Source organism: Homo sapiens, chromosome 8, assembly GCF_000001405.40.
Source record: "Homo sapiens chromosome 8, GRCh38.p14 Primary Assembly".
NCBI classification, from domain to species: Eukaryota; Metazoa; Chordata; class Mammalia; order Primates; family Hominidae; genus Homo; species Homo sapiens.
In genome coordinates this window covers 84,789,251-84,806,145 of record NC_000008.11, presented here as the reverse complement: position 1 = coordinate 84,806,145, position 16,895 = coordinate 84,789,251, and the positions used below count along the sequence as shown (strand labels likewise).

The window sequence follows — 16,895 nt, the reverse complement described above, 5'->3', positions numbered from 1 at the left end:
ATTTGAGTGGCTTTCTGAAAAGCTTTTATGAAGAGTAGAAAGGAATTGGGAACCATGTTGTTGAATGAGTGATTGATAGAAATATTCAATGACCATGTACAAAGTAATAAAAGAAAATTGATCTGGTCACTTAAAAATCTAACCCCATTCCATGTTTCTGGTCATTAAGCATCAGTATTGTGGCTGCCTATATATGACAGCTTTTTTTCCCTCATCAAATATAGCATGATTTCTCTAGGCAAGACATTGCATTTTTCACAACTTTTTCATACAATATCATCTATAATATTGAAAGTGCAAAAGTCCTTTCATAATACACTTTAATATGTTAGTCAAAGGAGTATTTGATCAGATACAAACAACATTGCTTATTCTTAGTTTGAAATGCCTAAAAATAGAACATGTGCACTCATGTCAAAAACATATTATTGTTATTATTTTATTACTATTACTTTTTGGGACAGAGTCTTGCTCTGTCACCCAGGCTGGAGTGGAGTGCAGTGGTGTGATCTTGGCTCACTGCAACTTCTGCCTCCCAGGTTCAGGCAATTCTCCTGCCTCAGCCTCCCAAGTAGCTGGGATTACAGGTGTGTGCCACCATGCCCAGCTAATTTTTGTATTTTTAATAGAGACAGAGTTTCACCATGTTGGCCAGGCCGGTCTTGAGCTCCTGCCCTCAGGTGATCCGCCCACCTCCCAAAAATGCTAGGATTACAGGCATGAACCACCGCGCCTGGCCAACAATATATTATTCTTAAAGATATGTATTGTGACTAAGAAGGATACCATCAGAGCAGGCAAGCGTTCGTCTTATCTAAATTTGCCTCAGGGTTCCTCAGCTTTGGGTGCAAAGAAGCAGTCAATGTGAGTGAACTGGAGAAATTAAAGTGAAATGAGAGATAAGGAGAAAAGATAGATATTGATTGTGAAGACAGACTTAGGGAAGTGGGTGACGAAACAGTGAATAGAGTAGATTGAAAAGAAATGGAGAATGGCAATGGGTAGACAGGCTTGGAATGGTGGAGCTATGGCTCAGAGGAATTTTTAAAACCAATCTGAGTATATTTTTACATGAAGAGAATATGGATGATCACTGTGTACCTTGTTTAGCCTTTATGGAAGATACAGGATTTCATATACATTCATTAGCTGCATTTCTGAGGTCACAATACAACCTAGGGAGCATTTTAGTTAAGTCTTTATAAAACATAGATAGCAATGTTGCATGCACTGATATGTTATGATTTTGAATATGATGTTAAATGACTGAAAATACCATCTCAGAAGTTCTTGGAAATTTGAATTAAATAATTAATACTTAAAGTATTTAAATATATACTTACCCAACAGACAGGAAAGGTTCCTTTGATTCAAGTCTATGAAAAAATATGAAAATTTTCTTTTAATATAAAAATTTGCTGTATATTCAAAAATTGCTTTTACATGAACCTGACAAAATTATTATACTTGTTTGGATGAAAATGCATAATGTAGCACCAGTAAAAAGCTATAAATAATATACTAAGACCTAATCTGGACTAATTCAATTTGCAGCTGGATTAATGCAGAAGCTAAATAAAATGAGAGTCTTGGAATGAGGACATAACATTTAACTGATATATTAAGATGATCATAGTATTAATCTAATTCTGATTGCACTCTCTGTATCTACTCATTTTCTTTATACATGGTAATTTGTTTGTAGACGTTTCTATATATCTATTTGTGGTTGTTGTAATAGTGAAATAATTTATAATGTGCTTGTTACATGTTAGTTGAATAACTGATTTACTCAGAAGAGAGAAGCAGCATACCATATATAGTTATTTATTGGTCTTAACACCCCTTAGGGTGGGGTAGTGTCAGCTCACAAATTTGGGTCCTTCAGCCTCCTTTGTGCTTCTAAAAACTTGGTATTTTCTGTACCTCAATATCTCAAAGGGAAAGTCTAATCCTGAAGGTTGTGGTTCATTTGAGAAAGCCACTTTAAAACATATTCTGTGTTTTATTTTTCTCATTATAAAATGGGCTAGGCTTACTTTCAGCTACTTTTCTAATTTCATAAATTAACTTTCCATTTTTTTTACAACATGTAAGTAAATCAGGAAAGCATCCACTTCTAAATAGTTCCTAGATAATAATTAAGGAAACCTGTTGGTAAGTGTATTTTGGCCACGCTAGTTTCATTATAGGTTTCTTAAGATACAATTAAGGGTGAAATGTAGGCGAACTGAAGATATTTTTAACTAAATCCTGGTGTTTAAGATTTTTAAGAAAGACAGTTGAAATGACTATCTTAGAATTAGGCTAAACATTTATTTTTATAAATGTGAGTCCAAACAACGAAGGCACTAATTACTTTTTTGTCTCTATTTCATTCTGTGTAGGCAAAAATGTGCTTATGAGAAATATGCCTTGGTGCATTTATAGGCAGAGCTGACATGCATCTCCGCCATATACCATGCTGCTTTGGGTGAATCATAATGGCAGAAAAGGGATTTTTAGGAAGCAAGTGCCTTAGCAATCCCTTTGGACAGCTCTAGGTAGGGTAGAAGCAGATAAAACCAATAGTTGGTGCTAAGAGTTTGGAGAGGTTTATTTATGTAACCTTTCCTTTTCTGAATTCCAATATTATTCACATCTCTAACTGTAGGTACATTAATTGCCTTATTGTGTTTGTTTTTCTCATACATTTGTGATCTACATAAGCAAACAGAACTAGGGAGGGAAAAGCTGAAGCAACGAAAAATGTTTGGATATATTTGCTTTATAAGACATGACCAGTGCCAAGTGATCAAAAGGAAATTGCCTTGAAGAAATGAGGGGGATTCTACATAATATGATGCAGGAGATTGTTCACATATTTAGACCATCAACACGATAATGGTACTACTTTATTTTCCACCTGATAATACTTGAAATAAAGATAGCATGTGGGCATTAATGGGATCCCTTCTCTCTGTATTTGCCAATAATTTCAGCCTGACATTTATCAGACATTAGTGTATGTGTGTGATTTGCTTGTTTGAAGTGCTACTCTCCAGCTTCCTATGTTCCCCATTTTCTATACACTACATCGTCCCCCTTGCCTCTCACTGGTATGTGATTCTTAGTGGCACTGAATAATATAATGAGAATCTTTTGAAAGGTTTTATATCTTTCTCCTCTCTCTTTTTTCAGCCTCCATGTCTCATTAGTTAGCAAGTCCCATCAATTTTTCCTTTGGGACTCTCATGTCCCCCTCTGCATTCCATTCCCAGCCTGGTTTTCATTAGTTACCCCAGCCTAGTTAGTCTCTCCGAAATTCTTTGTTCAAAGTCACTTCAACTTTACACACTGCTCTCACACTAAGCTTCCATCAATGCTGCCACTCACTTCCTTTGGGCAAGTACTGCATTGCACCACTTTAGGGTGGCATAAGCAACTTGAATAAAAGCAAAGCCCACCACTTTTGATTTTCCCTCTGCAATTATCAAAATACTGAGTTCAGAATGTGTTTGTTTGCAGTAGTATTTATTGATTGATTTCTCTCTCTCTCTCTTTTTTTTTGAAGGTTTCAGACAAGCAACTGTTGGATTAGAGCATACAGGGACATATATTGTCCTACTGCCCCCTGTGGTTAGTATGATTTGTCTGACTAGCTAGTTATTAATAGTTGTCCCCTTCTCCTACCACTTCAAGCCCACTTCAACCAGCTCCTTCCAAATGCTCAAGAGAAGACTTCAGAAGAAATTCAAAGTTTTCAAAATGATGTTGGATTGAAAGTTCTGATGATGTTCTATAAACCAAGAGTTTGCAAACTGTGGCCAAATCCTGCTCACCCTCTGATTGTGTATAGCCCCAAGCTAAGAATGGTTTTTACATTTTAAAGTAGCTGGAAAATATCAAAAGAAGAGTAATAATATTTTGTGACACATGAAAATTCATGAAATTCAAACTTCAGTGTCCGTAAATAAAGCTTACTGAAACAGAGCCATGTGACTTCATTTACATATTGTTTAAGGCTGCTTTGTGCTACGGCAACAAGTTGAGTAGTTGTGGCAGAGCAGACTGCATGTCCAAAATCCTAAAATATTTGCTATGTGGCCTTTATAGAAAAAGTATGCCAGTGTGTGAGATATTATTTTGTTGGAAGGAATTGGAAACAACCTCCTAAAATAGGCTTTCTTTACTTTTAATACATATCAAGTTATTTATTTTCCTAGATTTAGAAATTCAGAATAATTTGAATTCCTTCTCTACATCACCATTTCAACCTCTGATCCTACTAACATATTCACCTGAAATGTTTTTGTGTTACCACCTTTCTTGATTTCATTAATCATAAGAAGATGGTACCCAAACTTTTAAGATCTTCACAAACATGCCCTCACCAGTTTTCCATGTCATTCTTTACTGCTTCTCTAACTAAACAATAAACACTTCATTCCAGAAAAACTAAGTATTGTCCAGACACATCTGATTTGGCTTTGCTTTGGTACACTTAGCATTATATATCTATACCAGAATACTGTTTTTTCCCATGCATGATCTATTTATCATTTACATTTATCTCAATCTAACTCCTTCTTAAAGCTGATCTTGAAGCCTTCATTTTACAGGGAAAAGCCCATCTCTGAGGTAATACTTATCATCACCATCACTATGACATATCCTCTGAACAATGTTATTCAATTAAAAAAAACTGAACTTAGAGTCTCATTAAGACTGGTAAGAATATTAAACCTGTACTCTGTTTAGACAAGAGACTTCCAACAGTTTTGTGTTAAGTCTTCTGATGATGGGTCTAGAGGGGAGAATGTTGCCGATGGTTCATGAACTGAGCTGAAAGAAAAAAAGATTATTGGTCATTGGTTCCTCCAAGCCATAGATGATAAGGCCAAGGTACCAGGACTCCCAAGTGTCTTCTGTGGTGAAATAATAGGGCAGGAAATCTTGGTGGGTGCCCCCATCAGGCCACTCTACCTTTTGTCTCATCCTCAAAATGATGATGACACACTGTAGAGTGGAGAGACAACTGGCCCGTGTTGAATGATGCTCTGCTTTGAAACCAACTGCTTAGCTGTTGTTCACTATATTGAGGCAGCTTCTCTAGGCTTGGTATGATTCAGGGACTCTGAATAACCTCATTTTTCTCAATTATATAGCAAACATCATAGCCAACTCAAGGAGTTTGGGGAAGAATATGAGATTTTCTATTTAGAGCATCTAGCACTGTTCCTGGCAGAGTGGATCCTGATGGTCACGACCATACCAGAAACAGGTTAATTCTAAAGTCTGAAACTGCTTGAAATGTATGAATAGATCATTTTAGTAGTGTTGGTCCTGAAAAATGAAAAAAAAGTAAAAGAAGGAAACTGCTAGGAGGAATATTCCTTTGTAGAAAATTATTTATCAATTTAATCTGTAGAAACGGATCATTACATTGTGATATGCCTAGAGAGAACTTTTCTAAGATTTTTTTACAAGGTAATTGTTTCATGAAGAAAGGAATTTTTTTTATCTTTCCTAAGATTTACTTTTCATGTGAAATAGGTAGTGAATTTAATAATACTTCATTCAGGACCCACTAGAATTAGGAGTAGAATAAGATAAACAAACGACAGCCTTCAGAAGAGTAAGACATAGTGGAGAAATAAAATAGAACACAGAATGAAGGTCAATATTTGGAGCTAAATGAATTATAATACTTTTTATTTAATAAAAACTAAATTGTATTTACTGAAGGCCAGGTATTATTCAACATTCTTTATAAACACTAATTTATTTAAACGTCATGATACAATCTGAGGTAGTTCTCATTTTATAGATGAGGAAACTGAGACCAAAAGATATGAAGTACCTTGTCCAAAATCACAAAGCTCATAAGTGGTTGAGCTGGGATTTGAATTCAGACATTCTGACTCTAAAGTTCATGTGTCATCTATTTTATTTGTTTTGCTTTGTTTACATGTGCCTCAAGGTACTGTCAGATTGTCTGTCTTTATACTTCTATGCTCTATTGAGAAAGCTCACCTGGATTCAGATGTTGGAAATTCCAAAACTTACATCTCTGGCATCATTCTATTTATGATAGGTGGCTATAGCTGCCCACGAAATATCTCTAATTGTAGATGCCTCTAAGCTAACATATCTCAAACTAAATTTACTGTCTTCCTCCCTTATTTTATTTATTTATTTATTTTTGAGACAGAGTCTTGCTCTGTTGCCCAGGCAGGCTGGAGTGCAGTGGCGTGATCTCGGCTCACTGCAAACTCCACCTTCCGGGTTCACGCCATTCTCCTGCCTCAGCCTCCCGAGTAGCTGGGACTACAGGTGCCTGCCACCACGCCTGGTTAATTTTTTGTATTTTTAGTAGAGACGGGGTTTCACCGTGTTAGCCAGGATGGTCTCGATCTCCTGACCTCGTGATCCGCCTGCCTCGGCCTCCCAAAGTGCTGGGATTACAGGCGTGAGCCAGCGCACCCGGCCCTTCCTCGCTTATTTTGCTCTTCCTTGTTTTTCCCTAACTTGGAAAACTCAGCCACTTAGGTGACCAAACTAAAAAGAAAGACTGGAATCATTCTCATGAACTCCTTTCCAACAACATTTCTAGTTCTGTTGTTGCTGTTGCCAAAAGTCCTCTTGATTCTGTACTTGCCTCTCAATTCTTATTTTCACAGTTCAAGTGATCATCAACTTTTATATGATCCATTAATCTCTTCAATGACCTTCCTTCTTCAGTATTTCTTTGGTGTTGCCATATCTACTAACAGAATTAAATTTCTAAAATACAAATATAATCATGTAATTCTCCTCGTTACAAATCTCTGCATGTTTCCAGGAAGTATTTTCTTATAAGGCACAATGGGTTTGTTAGTGGTACTTCATAACTATTTTCATAGCACTCTGTAACACTTAACCGTGGTGAATTAAAAATTTCCAGTGTAATTGCCAAGCTCCCCCTAAGACTGCACACTCCTTGGAGGTACAAACAAACTGTATTTCAAGTACCTAGAATCATGCCTACTTCACTGGAGGCTCTCAGTAATGATTGTGTTAGATGAACCTTCCCTGCCTTGCTCCCCAACTTCTAGTCCCATGTTTTGCCTACAGAGTACAATCCAATATAACTTTATTACTATATTTATAGTATTAATATAACTAAAAGTTCATTCACAATCAGGTTCCAGTGTACCTTCTCAGCCTTTGTCTTCTATGACTTCAGTCTACAGACTCCACGCTCCAGCCAAGCTGAGCAAATTGCTCACTGTCTGGGTGGCATCTTGCTTTTTCCCCTGTGCATTGGCATTTTGCTTTCCCGCATCCTGCTTTTTCTCTTGTGCTTCGGCATATGTGTGTTTTTGCAGAAATAATTTCACAAGCTTTTGAAAGACTAGAGCTTTATCATGAATCCAAAGCATGTTATAAAAATATCCACCCATTATATTTACAGAATTTTGTAGTTAAAATTTCCAGGCAGTGATACTACTTACCATTATCTGATCTGTTCTTTTTAGCTATGACAACCCAAGCCCTGACCTACATTTAAGATGGATGTGCCAAAGGGCTTAAGTGTACAGGTTCTAGAATCAGATTGCCTAATTCCAGTCATGACTCCACCACCTCTGGCTGTGTGGCCTTGGAGAAGTAAGGGACTTCTCTTTGTGCCTCAATTATTTCATTTGCAAAATGGAAATAATAGTAGACCTATCTCAAAGAGCTACTGTGAGAAATAAATATATAACTACACACATTAGATAACTAAATAACTTAAATAAATAGTGGATAAATGGTTAATAAATATTAACCATCATTGTTATTACTTTTTTTTTTTAATCTCTGAGTCCTCGAATCCTTGTTCCTGCATTCATAGCCAGTTAATAGAAATAGAGAGTTCAGGTTGGGGAATAGGTTGGGATATATTGGAGAAGATATGCAGTACTCAGCAGATGGAAATGTGGGCTCAAAGCTCAGGTGAGACATTTGGGCTGGAAATAGATTCAGGAGTCATGTTATCAATGCAGAATTAGTATATTAAATCATAAGAGAGAATAAGTTCGCCCAGAGATAGTGAAGAATAAGAAGAAAAGAGTGGAGTGAAGAATATTTATTTGGGCTCACTAACAGGACCTTAGATGTGTAGAAGCAAAGTTCAGAAGGGGGCAGAAGATCTGTTCTGGCAGTTGCATTAACCTGTACCTGGCATGGCACCCAACACATAGCAGATGCTCCCCAAATGTTGACTGACTGAGAAAACCTGTGCCTAGATCTATGCCACTGGCTTTCAATCTGTTCTGTAGGATAAAAGTAAATAAAGAAGAGAAGATTATCTCTGAAAGTGGCTCCTGTGTGCCTTACTCAAGCCAGCAAGGAGTAGGAATTGAGAAGTGTTAACATTCTCCACTAAAGTCGATTTACAGGCCAAAGCTAGTGTCCAAATCTAGTGATGTTTGAAATCTTGTTTGTCTACCCTTTAGGAATTAATCTCTTAATAGGGAATACAGGACTTCTTTTTTTTTAACTGCATACTTTTTTTCTCCAAAGGAATTTTCATATGCATTTCAAAGAGTTTTAAAGACCAATGTGGGTGCAAATATTTTATGTAGAAAAAAACAATGTGGCTGATTCCTATCTGTCCCCACCACACTTCCGCAAACAACGAGGGAGTCTAACAATTATCACAAGAGTCAGAGCTTGCGATGTGCCAGGGACTCTGCCAAGCTCTCTCACACATGGAATTTTGACAACAGTATATAAGAAAACTAAAGTTCAGAAAAACCTAGTAATTTGTTTAAAGCCACACAGTGCTGTTATCTGAATGTCCTCTCTAAAACTCACGTTGAAGTTTAATTGCCATTGTGATGGTAGTAAAAAGTGAGACCTTTAAGAGATGATTAGGCCATGAGGACTTTACCCTCATGAATGGATTTATGTCATTATTGCAGATGTGGATTTGATCTGCTTTTTCGCTCTGTTTTGTGCATGCGTTTCTTCACCATGTGATGCTTTCCACCATATTATGATGCAACAAGAAATCCCTCACTAGACACTGCCTCTTGATTTTGGACTTCTCAGTCTCTAGAACTGTGAGCCAAATAACTTACATTTTTTATAAATCATCCAGTCAGTGTTACTCTGTGATAGTAGCAGGAAACGAACTAAGACACACAGCAAAGTGACGGAGTCTGAATTCAGTCACAGGTCTAACTCCAAAGTCTATACAGCCACTGTTCTGTACTCTTAAGAAAAGATAAAGAACACAATAAATGCTACACTGGCCATATATTTCATCTATCTGGCCCCACACTGGGTATGATGGTGGCCCAGGCTATTTTAAGTTATTCCTTAGCTAACTGATTGCTTGTTGTTTATGCAATAATTTAGCATGATATTTTATAAATAACTTAATATACTTAAGAATTATAGAAATCTTGTTTTGATATTTAAAATTTAGTTTATATCTCATCCTTAACTATTTGTAATCTAAACACATCCATATGACATTTTAATCATTCCAAGGCATTCTGATTTAAAAAAGCTTTGTTACAAGGTAAATGGTTAAATGGGAGCAACAGATGATGACTGATCAAAGATAAGCACTTGTAAGTGATTCTTAGGTGTCTTCTTACAGAATATTTTGCATATTAAAACATAACATAATCCTATCAGTATTCTTAAAAATTCATTTATTGCCTAAAGATTTAATAAAGAAAGAGTCTTCTTTATGTAATAGGGAAAGGATATTCATGGATAACTGTAGGTGAATTCTGAGATCTACCAAAGATCAGAATCTGTCGGTGGTACTTATTCTCTTGGTTATTCTTGTCCCCTAACCTGAAAACTAAACAAAACAATCCCAGGCTTCTGTGCTGGCTGGCCTGGGCCAAGATGCCTAGGAGACACATTATTAGGGTTTTGTTGTGGAGAGCAAAAGATTTATTAGGAGGAAGCTTCCTTAGAGCATAGCATGGGAAGAAGCACTGGTTGGTCTGTACAGGCACTGACCTCCTCACCTCCATCTGCGCAAAGAAGTCTGAGCATGCCCTGTCAGTCAGCTTCTTTGGTCAAGATATAGTTGGATACTGACCTCAAGCATGTACTCACAGTGGACTCTCGTGCCAGCCATATCCCTTCTCCAGCTGTGGCTACTTACAAGGGTGTAGTGTTATGATGAATACACAAAGATTATCCCAAATGCAGACATTTGTGGTGTCCTATCAACATTGAAAAATTGGTGGCAAAGTGGGGGTGATACTGTGATGGGATAGTCTGAGGTGGCTGAAAGTGCGAATAAACATTCCTTTAAAAGCTTGTGAGCTCTAAAGCTGAGAGGTCAAATCAGTTTTGATTTTCATGTCAACTGACTGATGGTGGCTGCTGGGAACATCATGTTGACATGAATTCTAAAGCCTACTTAGGCCTCAGGGTGTAAGGGCCTGTAATTAACCTATGTCTGCCACAGGAATAAGAAGAAAAATGAAAAGCATTATGTCCAAATACGTATTTACCAACTTGTGCTAATGGAAGGTACAGAAATTTGCTCAAGGCTACAAAAGTAATGAAAAGGTATAAAATCCACAGTACAACTTAGATTTCCAGACATATAGTCCATAAACCAATGTACAAATAATAATGTATATTTAATGCCCCATGTATGACAGCCAATATTTAGAATTTGACACTCTATTTTAAGCATTTTCACATATTTAATCCTCATAACTTTCTTGTGAAGTTGACATCATTATCATGTCTATTTTATAAATGACAAAAACAGAGATAAAAAGGAATCAGTAAACTTTCTCAGGCTCTTAGAGCTAGGAAGACATAGAGCAGGGTGATAACTCAGGCAGTCTGATTAAGACATTGAGTCTTAATATTTTAGAATATTTATACTATTTTCTAATACTTTATTTGTTGATCATTAGAAGAACATCATATTTACCTACAAGGTTGAGGAGACAGCCAGGCTCCTTCATTCCTATGGGATTTTCCTATATAGAATCAATTTCTCTGGAGTAAAATGCAGCTTTCCCCTCTATTTCCTGTGATATCTTTTTCAAAGGCTTTCATGCTCAACTGAAATCTCTGCAACTGAAATCTCTGCTTAGGGCTATCATCAAGCCCCTTGGTAAGTTTCATTTGCAGTTACCACCATCTGGGCTGCTAACTCCAGGGACAGGTTAATGGATGGCTGTGGTATCAACCAAGAATCTCTGTGGCAGTTCTGACACTCAGACTCATGACTTTTGCCACATTGGAAATTAAGGCTGCAGGGCTCATCTCCCTCGGATGGACTGTAATGTTCTTTCATAATTCTACAGGGAGGAATGAACTGTAGCAACAGGAATGGAGGTGAAGGATAAAGAACCTCCTGGCAAGAAAGATCATTAACCACTGGCAGATTCTCCTAGGATAATTGAAATGCTCCAACAGCTTTGGGGGCAGCAGTGAGGATGGTGCTGGAAGATATTTGGTTAGGGTAAAGAGTGGGGTCTCATCCTTTCTCCAATATGATTACAGGATTAACTTTACTGCTCCTCACACTGGAAGGGAGTCCACACAATTCTGCAGATGTTTCTATTAAGAAAAATGATTTTCTGAAAAGAAATACTTTCAAACTTAATTATTTTCATGTAGCAAGATTTGCTCATCTCAGTTCCAGACTTGTAAAGGGAAGTAAATTTAAGAAAAACTAGCATGTGGCTGCTCAGCTGTCTCTTTCAATTGTCTTAGTTGCTTGCTAATGGCTGTTAAATCCTACAGAGAAACTGTGCCTTCTGTCAAGAGTGCAGCCTGGGGAAGGAGGTAATCAGTCAGAGTTATCCAGTTTCAGATCTTCATCCTCAGTCCTGCTCTTTGCAGAATGCCGATGCCATTTATCTTTTACTCCACTTTAAGATGAAGATATAAGAGTCAATACTCTGTAGTCTTTTGATCGCCCATCCTAATAAGTTGTGCAGAGTGTAAATGGTGCTAAATGACATGATCTATGTATTTTCAAGGCCCTGGCCTAGTAGGTTGGGAGGAGCAGCTGACTTGTGTGTCCTTCCATGTATCTCCCTGCTGCCCCCCATCCATTCCATACTCTTCACCTGTGCCCCACAGTCTCATACCCATCAGGTCCCAGCTTCAACCTCACCATCTCTGATCCTTTCTCTTAATAAAACATTTGAAACTCATTCAGACCAAGTCATAGCTAATGTCTGACATAGACTTGGTGAACTACAACTCATTTTTACGTGTGTTTTGCTTAGCTGTGTTTCTTCCCTCTTCCCAGTCACATACTGGTCTGGCTGGTTAATTTCTTGTCTGAGTTTTTGTTTTGGTAACCACAGCCCCTCTCTAACCAAGCTTTCCCACCCTCCCCTGGACCCTTGTTCTCTGAAGGCATTAAATCTTGGCACTTAATTTTAGAATGTAATTATTTAAACTGCCACAGGTTGACAAAATTGTGTGATACCAGTCACCTACCTGGATTATTGAATATTATCTACTCCTGGATTGTGTTGGAAGCTCCAAGTGACTGGCAAGGCTGCATTTTGGCTTCACATTAGAATCCCTCCCACTCTATAGAGCTGTATCTATCTTATACTGATGTAGGTTTATAATTCTACATCCCCTCCTGGAATGCTCTCTGAGATAATTGTGCAGGATCAAGCCATAACACCAAACCCGATGGATTCAAAGTCTTGTTTGTTTTTGTCAATGTCTCGAATGGTCTCCACAATGCTAAGTTCAATGATGAATTATTAGTTAACATGAACTTTGAAGAGCAGTTGACCCAATTGATTAATTCTTCTTGAAACATCTTCTTCCCTGAGTTTCATACCACCCAGCCTAACTACCTCACTAGTTGCTTCCTCCCAGTCACCTTTGCTGGTTCTTGACTTCAAATTTGAGAGTGTTGTAGAGCTCAGTCCTTGGAATTCTTCTCTTTTCTATCTTTTCTTATCCCCTTTCTGTTCTCACCCAGTCTTGTGGCTTTGAATACCATCTATATACTGATGACTCACAAATAGGCACATTCAGTCCAGATCTCTCCCCTGAACTCCAGATTAGATATTCAATTGCCTATATGATATCTTTACTCACCACCCACCTTGGCCTACTCTAACTTCTGTCAGTCTTTCCCATCACACTTAACTGCAACTTCATATGTCCAGTTGCTTGGTCCAAAAACCTTGGAGACATCTCTGGTAGACAGTCTGGCTATCATCAGTTTCTTCCCCTCACCCATCAAGAGGTGGAATCTATTTCCTTGTGACTTGCTCTTATACAAAGAATGTGATGTGGCAGATGGGACATTCTGGAACTTGCAATCCAGGTTTGAAGAGTACAAACAGCTTCTTCCTCTCTCTTGAAGTCAGTCATCATATACAAACTCTAACTGCTTTGAGACTACCATAATGTGATAAAACCTAAGCTGGCCCCAGGGAGAGACTATGTGAAGAAAAAGGCTCAGCCACCACAGCCATTCCTGCCAACCTCAGCTTCCAACCTTACATGCTGTTGATATGGACAGAACACACGGGAGTACTGGGTCGAAGAAGGTGGTTCCCCAGCGAAGGGCCCACCCTTAAGCCTGGAAACCCGTGGCCCTAAATGAGAAAAGGCATTCCTGTTTTCATGCCCAAATTTGCCTTTTGGCCTGCAACGCCCCCTATCCTGTACCCATGTAAACTCCAAACCACCAGCTCCAGGGGGAGATGAGAGGACAAACAGAAGAGCAGAAGAAAGGCAGAACGGTGCAGCAGAGAGAAGAGAAGAAGTGTCCGTACACCAAGAGGAGTTTGGCTGGGGACAGTTGGAAAGGAGATTGGCCGCTGGGTGGCCAAACTCCAGGGGAAGATCATCTTCCCACTCCATCCCCCTTCCATCTCCCCATCCATCCCACTGAGAGCCACCTCCAGGACTCAACAAAACCCCGCATTCATCTTTCAAGTCTGTGTGTGACCTGATTCTTCCTGGATGCTGGACAAGGACCCGGGTACCAAGAGGGTACTGAGCTAGTTAACACTTAAGCTGTCTTCAGATGGCAAGGCTAAAGGAGTGCACTGTAACACATGTCCACTTGGGCTTTGGGAGTCTCAGCTCCCTTCCCTGGATGCTGGCCTGGGGCCAGAGACCAGGGGTGCTTGCTTTGGCTTCTGCACCTGCCTGTTTGCATGCTCCCCCTCCCTTAAGGGGTTTGAGTGCACACATACGGTGGCTGAACAGACAGAAGGAGACACACCCTGTCACATCCTGCCGGGGGGGAAACAGGGAACTCTCCTGTTTCACTCTGTTAGTGCCAAAGCAATCTGGGACACACAGAGCAGAACTATTTGACTGAACTCAGCCCACATCGCTGAATATGACAAAAATGTTTTTTTTTAAGTTAATAAATCTTGCTACGTAGCAGCAGATAATGTGTTTATCCTCAACTCCATTCTTTCTTTCACAGTCCACTTCCAATTTGTTAATAAACTTGTTGGCACTACTTTCAAAATCAATCAGTAACATAACCATTTTTATTTGACATCTCAGTTGCTACCGTTTAACCACATCACCATCTCCTGCCTGGTCTCCCACATTCTACCCTAACACTCCACAATCCATTGTCAACATATGGCTAATGGGACTTTTCAGAATTTAAGTTCTGTCATGGTACTCTTCTGCTTAAAACCTTCCAAAAGCTCTTTATTTTACTCAGAGTGAAACCCAAAGTGCTTCAAAGGCCTGTGAGGCTTTTACATCATTTGGTGCCTCCATTTACATCTCTGCCATTATTCCTCTCATTTCCTCCTTGCCCAAAGTTTTGTGAGTTTTCTCTAGAAACATTGGCATCCTTGCTTTTTAAAACACATGAGAATGCTTCTGCTTTAGGGCCTTTGCTAGCAAAGTTCCCCTACCTAGAATGCTTTTCCCCAGGCATCACTTTGCCTGCTCATCACCCCCTTCACGGCTGCTCAAATGTCATGTTCTCAGCTGAGCCTTCATTGAGCACCCTATAAAAAATTGCAGTACTTGTCATCTTCCTACTTCCAAAATCTTCTAGCTTAATTTTTTTCTATAACATCTACTACCTTCTAATTTATAATTAGTTTGCTTTTGTTTGTCTTTAGTTACCTCAAACTTGAAGGCAAGGACAGAGATTTTTGTCTACTTTGTCATAAATCAAATTTAGCCTAAAGTTGCCTCTTTACATATTTTAAGTTCAGCCTAAAGGTTTCTCAGTACACGGTGAATTATAACCTAAATGAAATTGTAAACAGACCGTAGCTTACTCTTGTGGCAATCACCAAGTTCTGGCCAATCAAAGGTGGTCAACTGTTCAAACCATGTTCAAATAAGGCAGATGTGAAGCTGTAACCAATCCGCTACTTCTGGATCTCACTTCTATTTTCTGTACATCACTTTCTCTTTTTTTTCCATGAATCTTCTTCCACAATGTAACTGCACTGGAATCTCTGAATGTACTCTGGCTTGAGACACTGCCCAATTTGCAAATCGTTTTTTGCTCAATTAAATTCTTTTACATTTAATTCAGCTAAAGATTTTCTTGTAGCATTAACTGGGATATCCTTGGTACCCAGAAAAATGTCCAGTGGGTGCTTAATAGTTAATTGATGAATAAATGACTACATCCACAAATTTATGTTTCCTTCTGCACCAGATCCATTAAGAATCTTTAATATAGGCTGAATTTGGTCAGTCTTTGGGCAAACTCTGTTCATAGAAGCTAAGAGGTAAGTCATCCCTCCAGGCTTCAGATCCCATGATCTGCTCCAAATGCTGGGATTAGAAATTCTTTTGCAAGTCTCCATTGTTCCTACATAGACCCTCAGGGCTGACCGTATGTGAAATATTTATTTTGCGTTTCATCTCTCTTGCCACCAATTTGGTTTGTCCCTAAAATTTGGCTGTCTTGGCTCTTAAGTTCTAATGGCTGCCACCCCACAATCCCTCATGAAGACCAGCTGACTAGCTTGCCCTGCTTTTTTCAATTAACATTCCAGGACTGGAGCTTTGTTCTGGACTTTATTGTATGACCAAGAAACTTGTAACACACTGACTGGCTCCCCAGATGGCAACTCACTCCAGTGAGACTACTAACTGCCTGTCTATATGTGCTTCACCTACCCCTAAGACTAGTCTTTCTTGCTTTTATTTCATTAGCATTACATTTAAAAACATAATACATTTGCTTTTTCAGTTAAAATGGATACCTGATATTACTTATTTCTTTCATAATATCTTTATTTTCTAATGCCAAATATTGCAACTTTTCTATACTCAATTTAGTTCATATTTCTTTTATTCTTTTTCTTTTTTGAAACAGGGTCTCACTCTGTGGCTCTGGCTGGAGTGATTACAGCTCATGGAGCTTCAAACTGCAAGTAGGCTCAAGTGATCCTCCCACCTCAGCCTTCTGAGTAGCTGGGACTACAAGTGTACATGACCACACCCGACTAATTTTTGTATTTTTTGTAAAGATGGGGTTTCACCATGTTGCCCAAGCTGGTCTCGAACTCCTGGGCTCAAGTAATCTGCCTGCTTTAGCCTCCCGAAGTACTGGGATTATAGGTGTGAACCACCGCACCCAGCCCATATTTTCAATGAGATCATATAATGTTTTTTTTTCGATCCTCTAAACATGAGATTTGCTATATTGAGTTGGAGTAACAAAGAGTAAGGAAAAAAATGAGAAAAAGATAATCTTCAACAAATCATAAAATTATGTTACAATTCCATTTAAATTCTTCCTGAATTCTCACAGTATCATAAGTGTCTTTGCCACTGATGTTGTAGATAGTTTTAGTAAGATAGCATTTAAACTACCTTTAACAATTGCTAAGTAATTCAACTCAAAATGCTTTTTCACTCTTGATTATCTGTAATTTGTGGGTCATCTTCTGTTTCCTTTTCAAACT

General features: G+C 38.5%; 1 protein-coding gene across 58 annotated transcripts in view; it reads right to left on the bottom strand.

The window, feature by feature from the left end:
- The window catches only part of RALYL (RALY RNA binding protein like), a 739,058-nt gene that overhangs the window by 115,699 nt on the left and 606,464 nt on the right, over positions 1-16,895 (bottom strand). For 34 of the 58 annotated variants that reach the window (NM_001413301.1, NM_001354325.2, NM_001413311.1 and 31 more), the window contains one exon: positions 1,344-1,376. The exons of the other annotated variants lie outside the window; for them this stretch is intronic. In NM_001413301.1, coding sequence (NP_001400230.1) covers positions 1,344-1,376 — 33 coding nt within the window. The remainder of the gene's footprint in view (positions 1-1,343; positions 1,377-16,895) is intronic. 58 annotated transcript variants of the gene reach the window in all.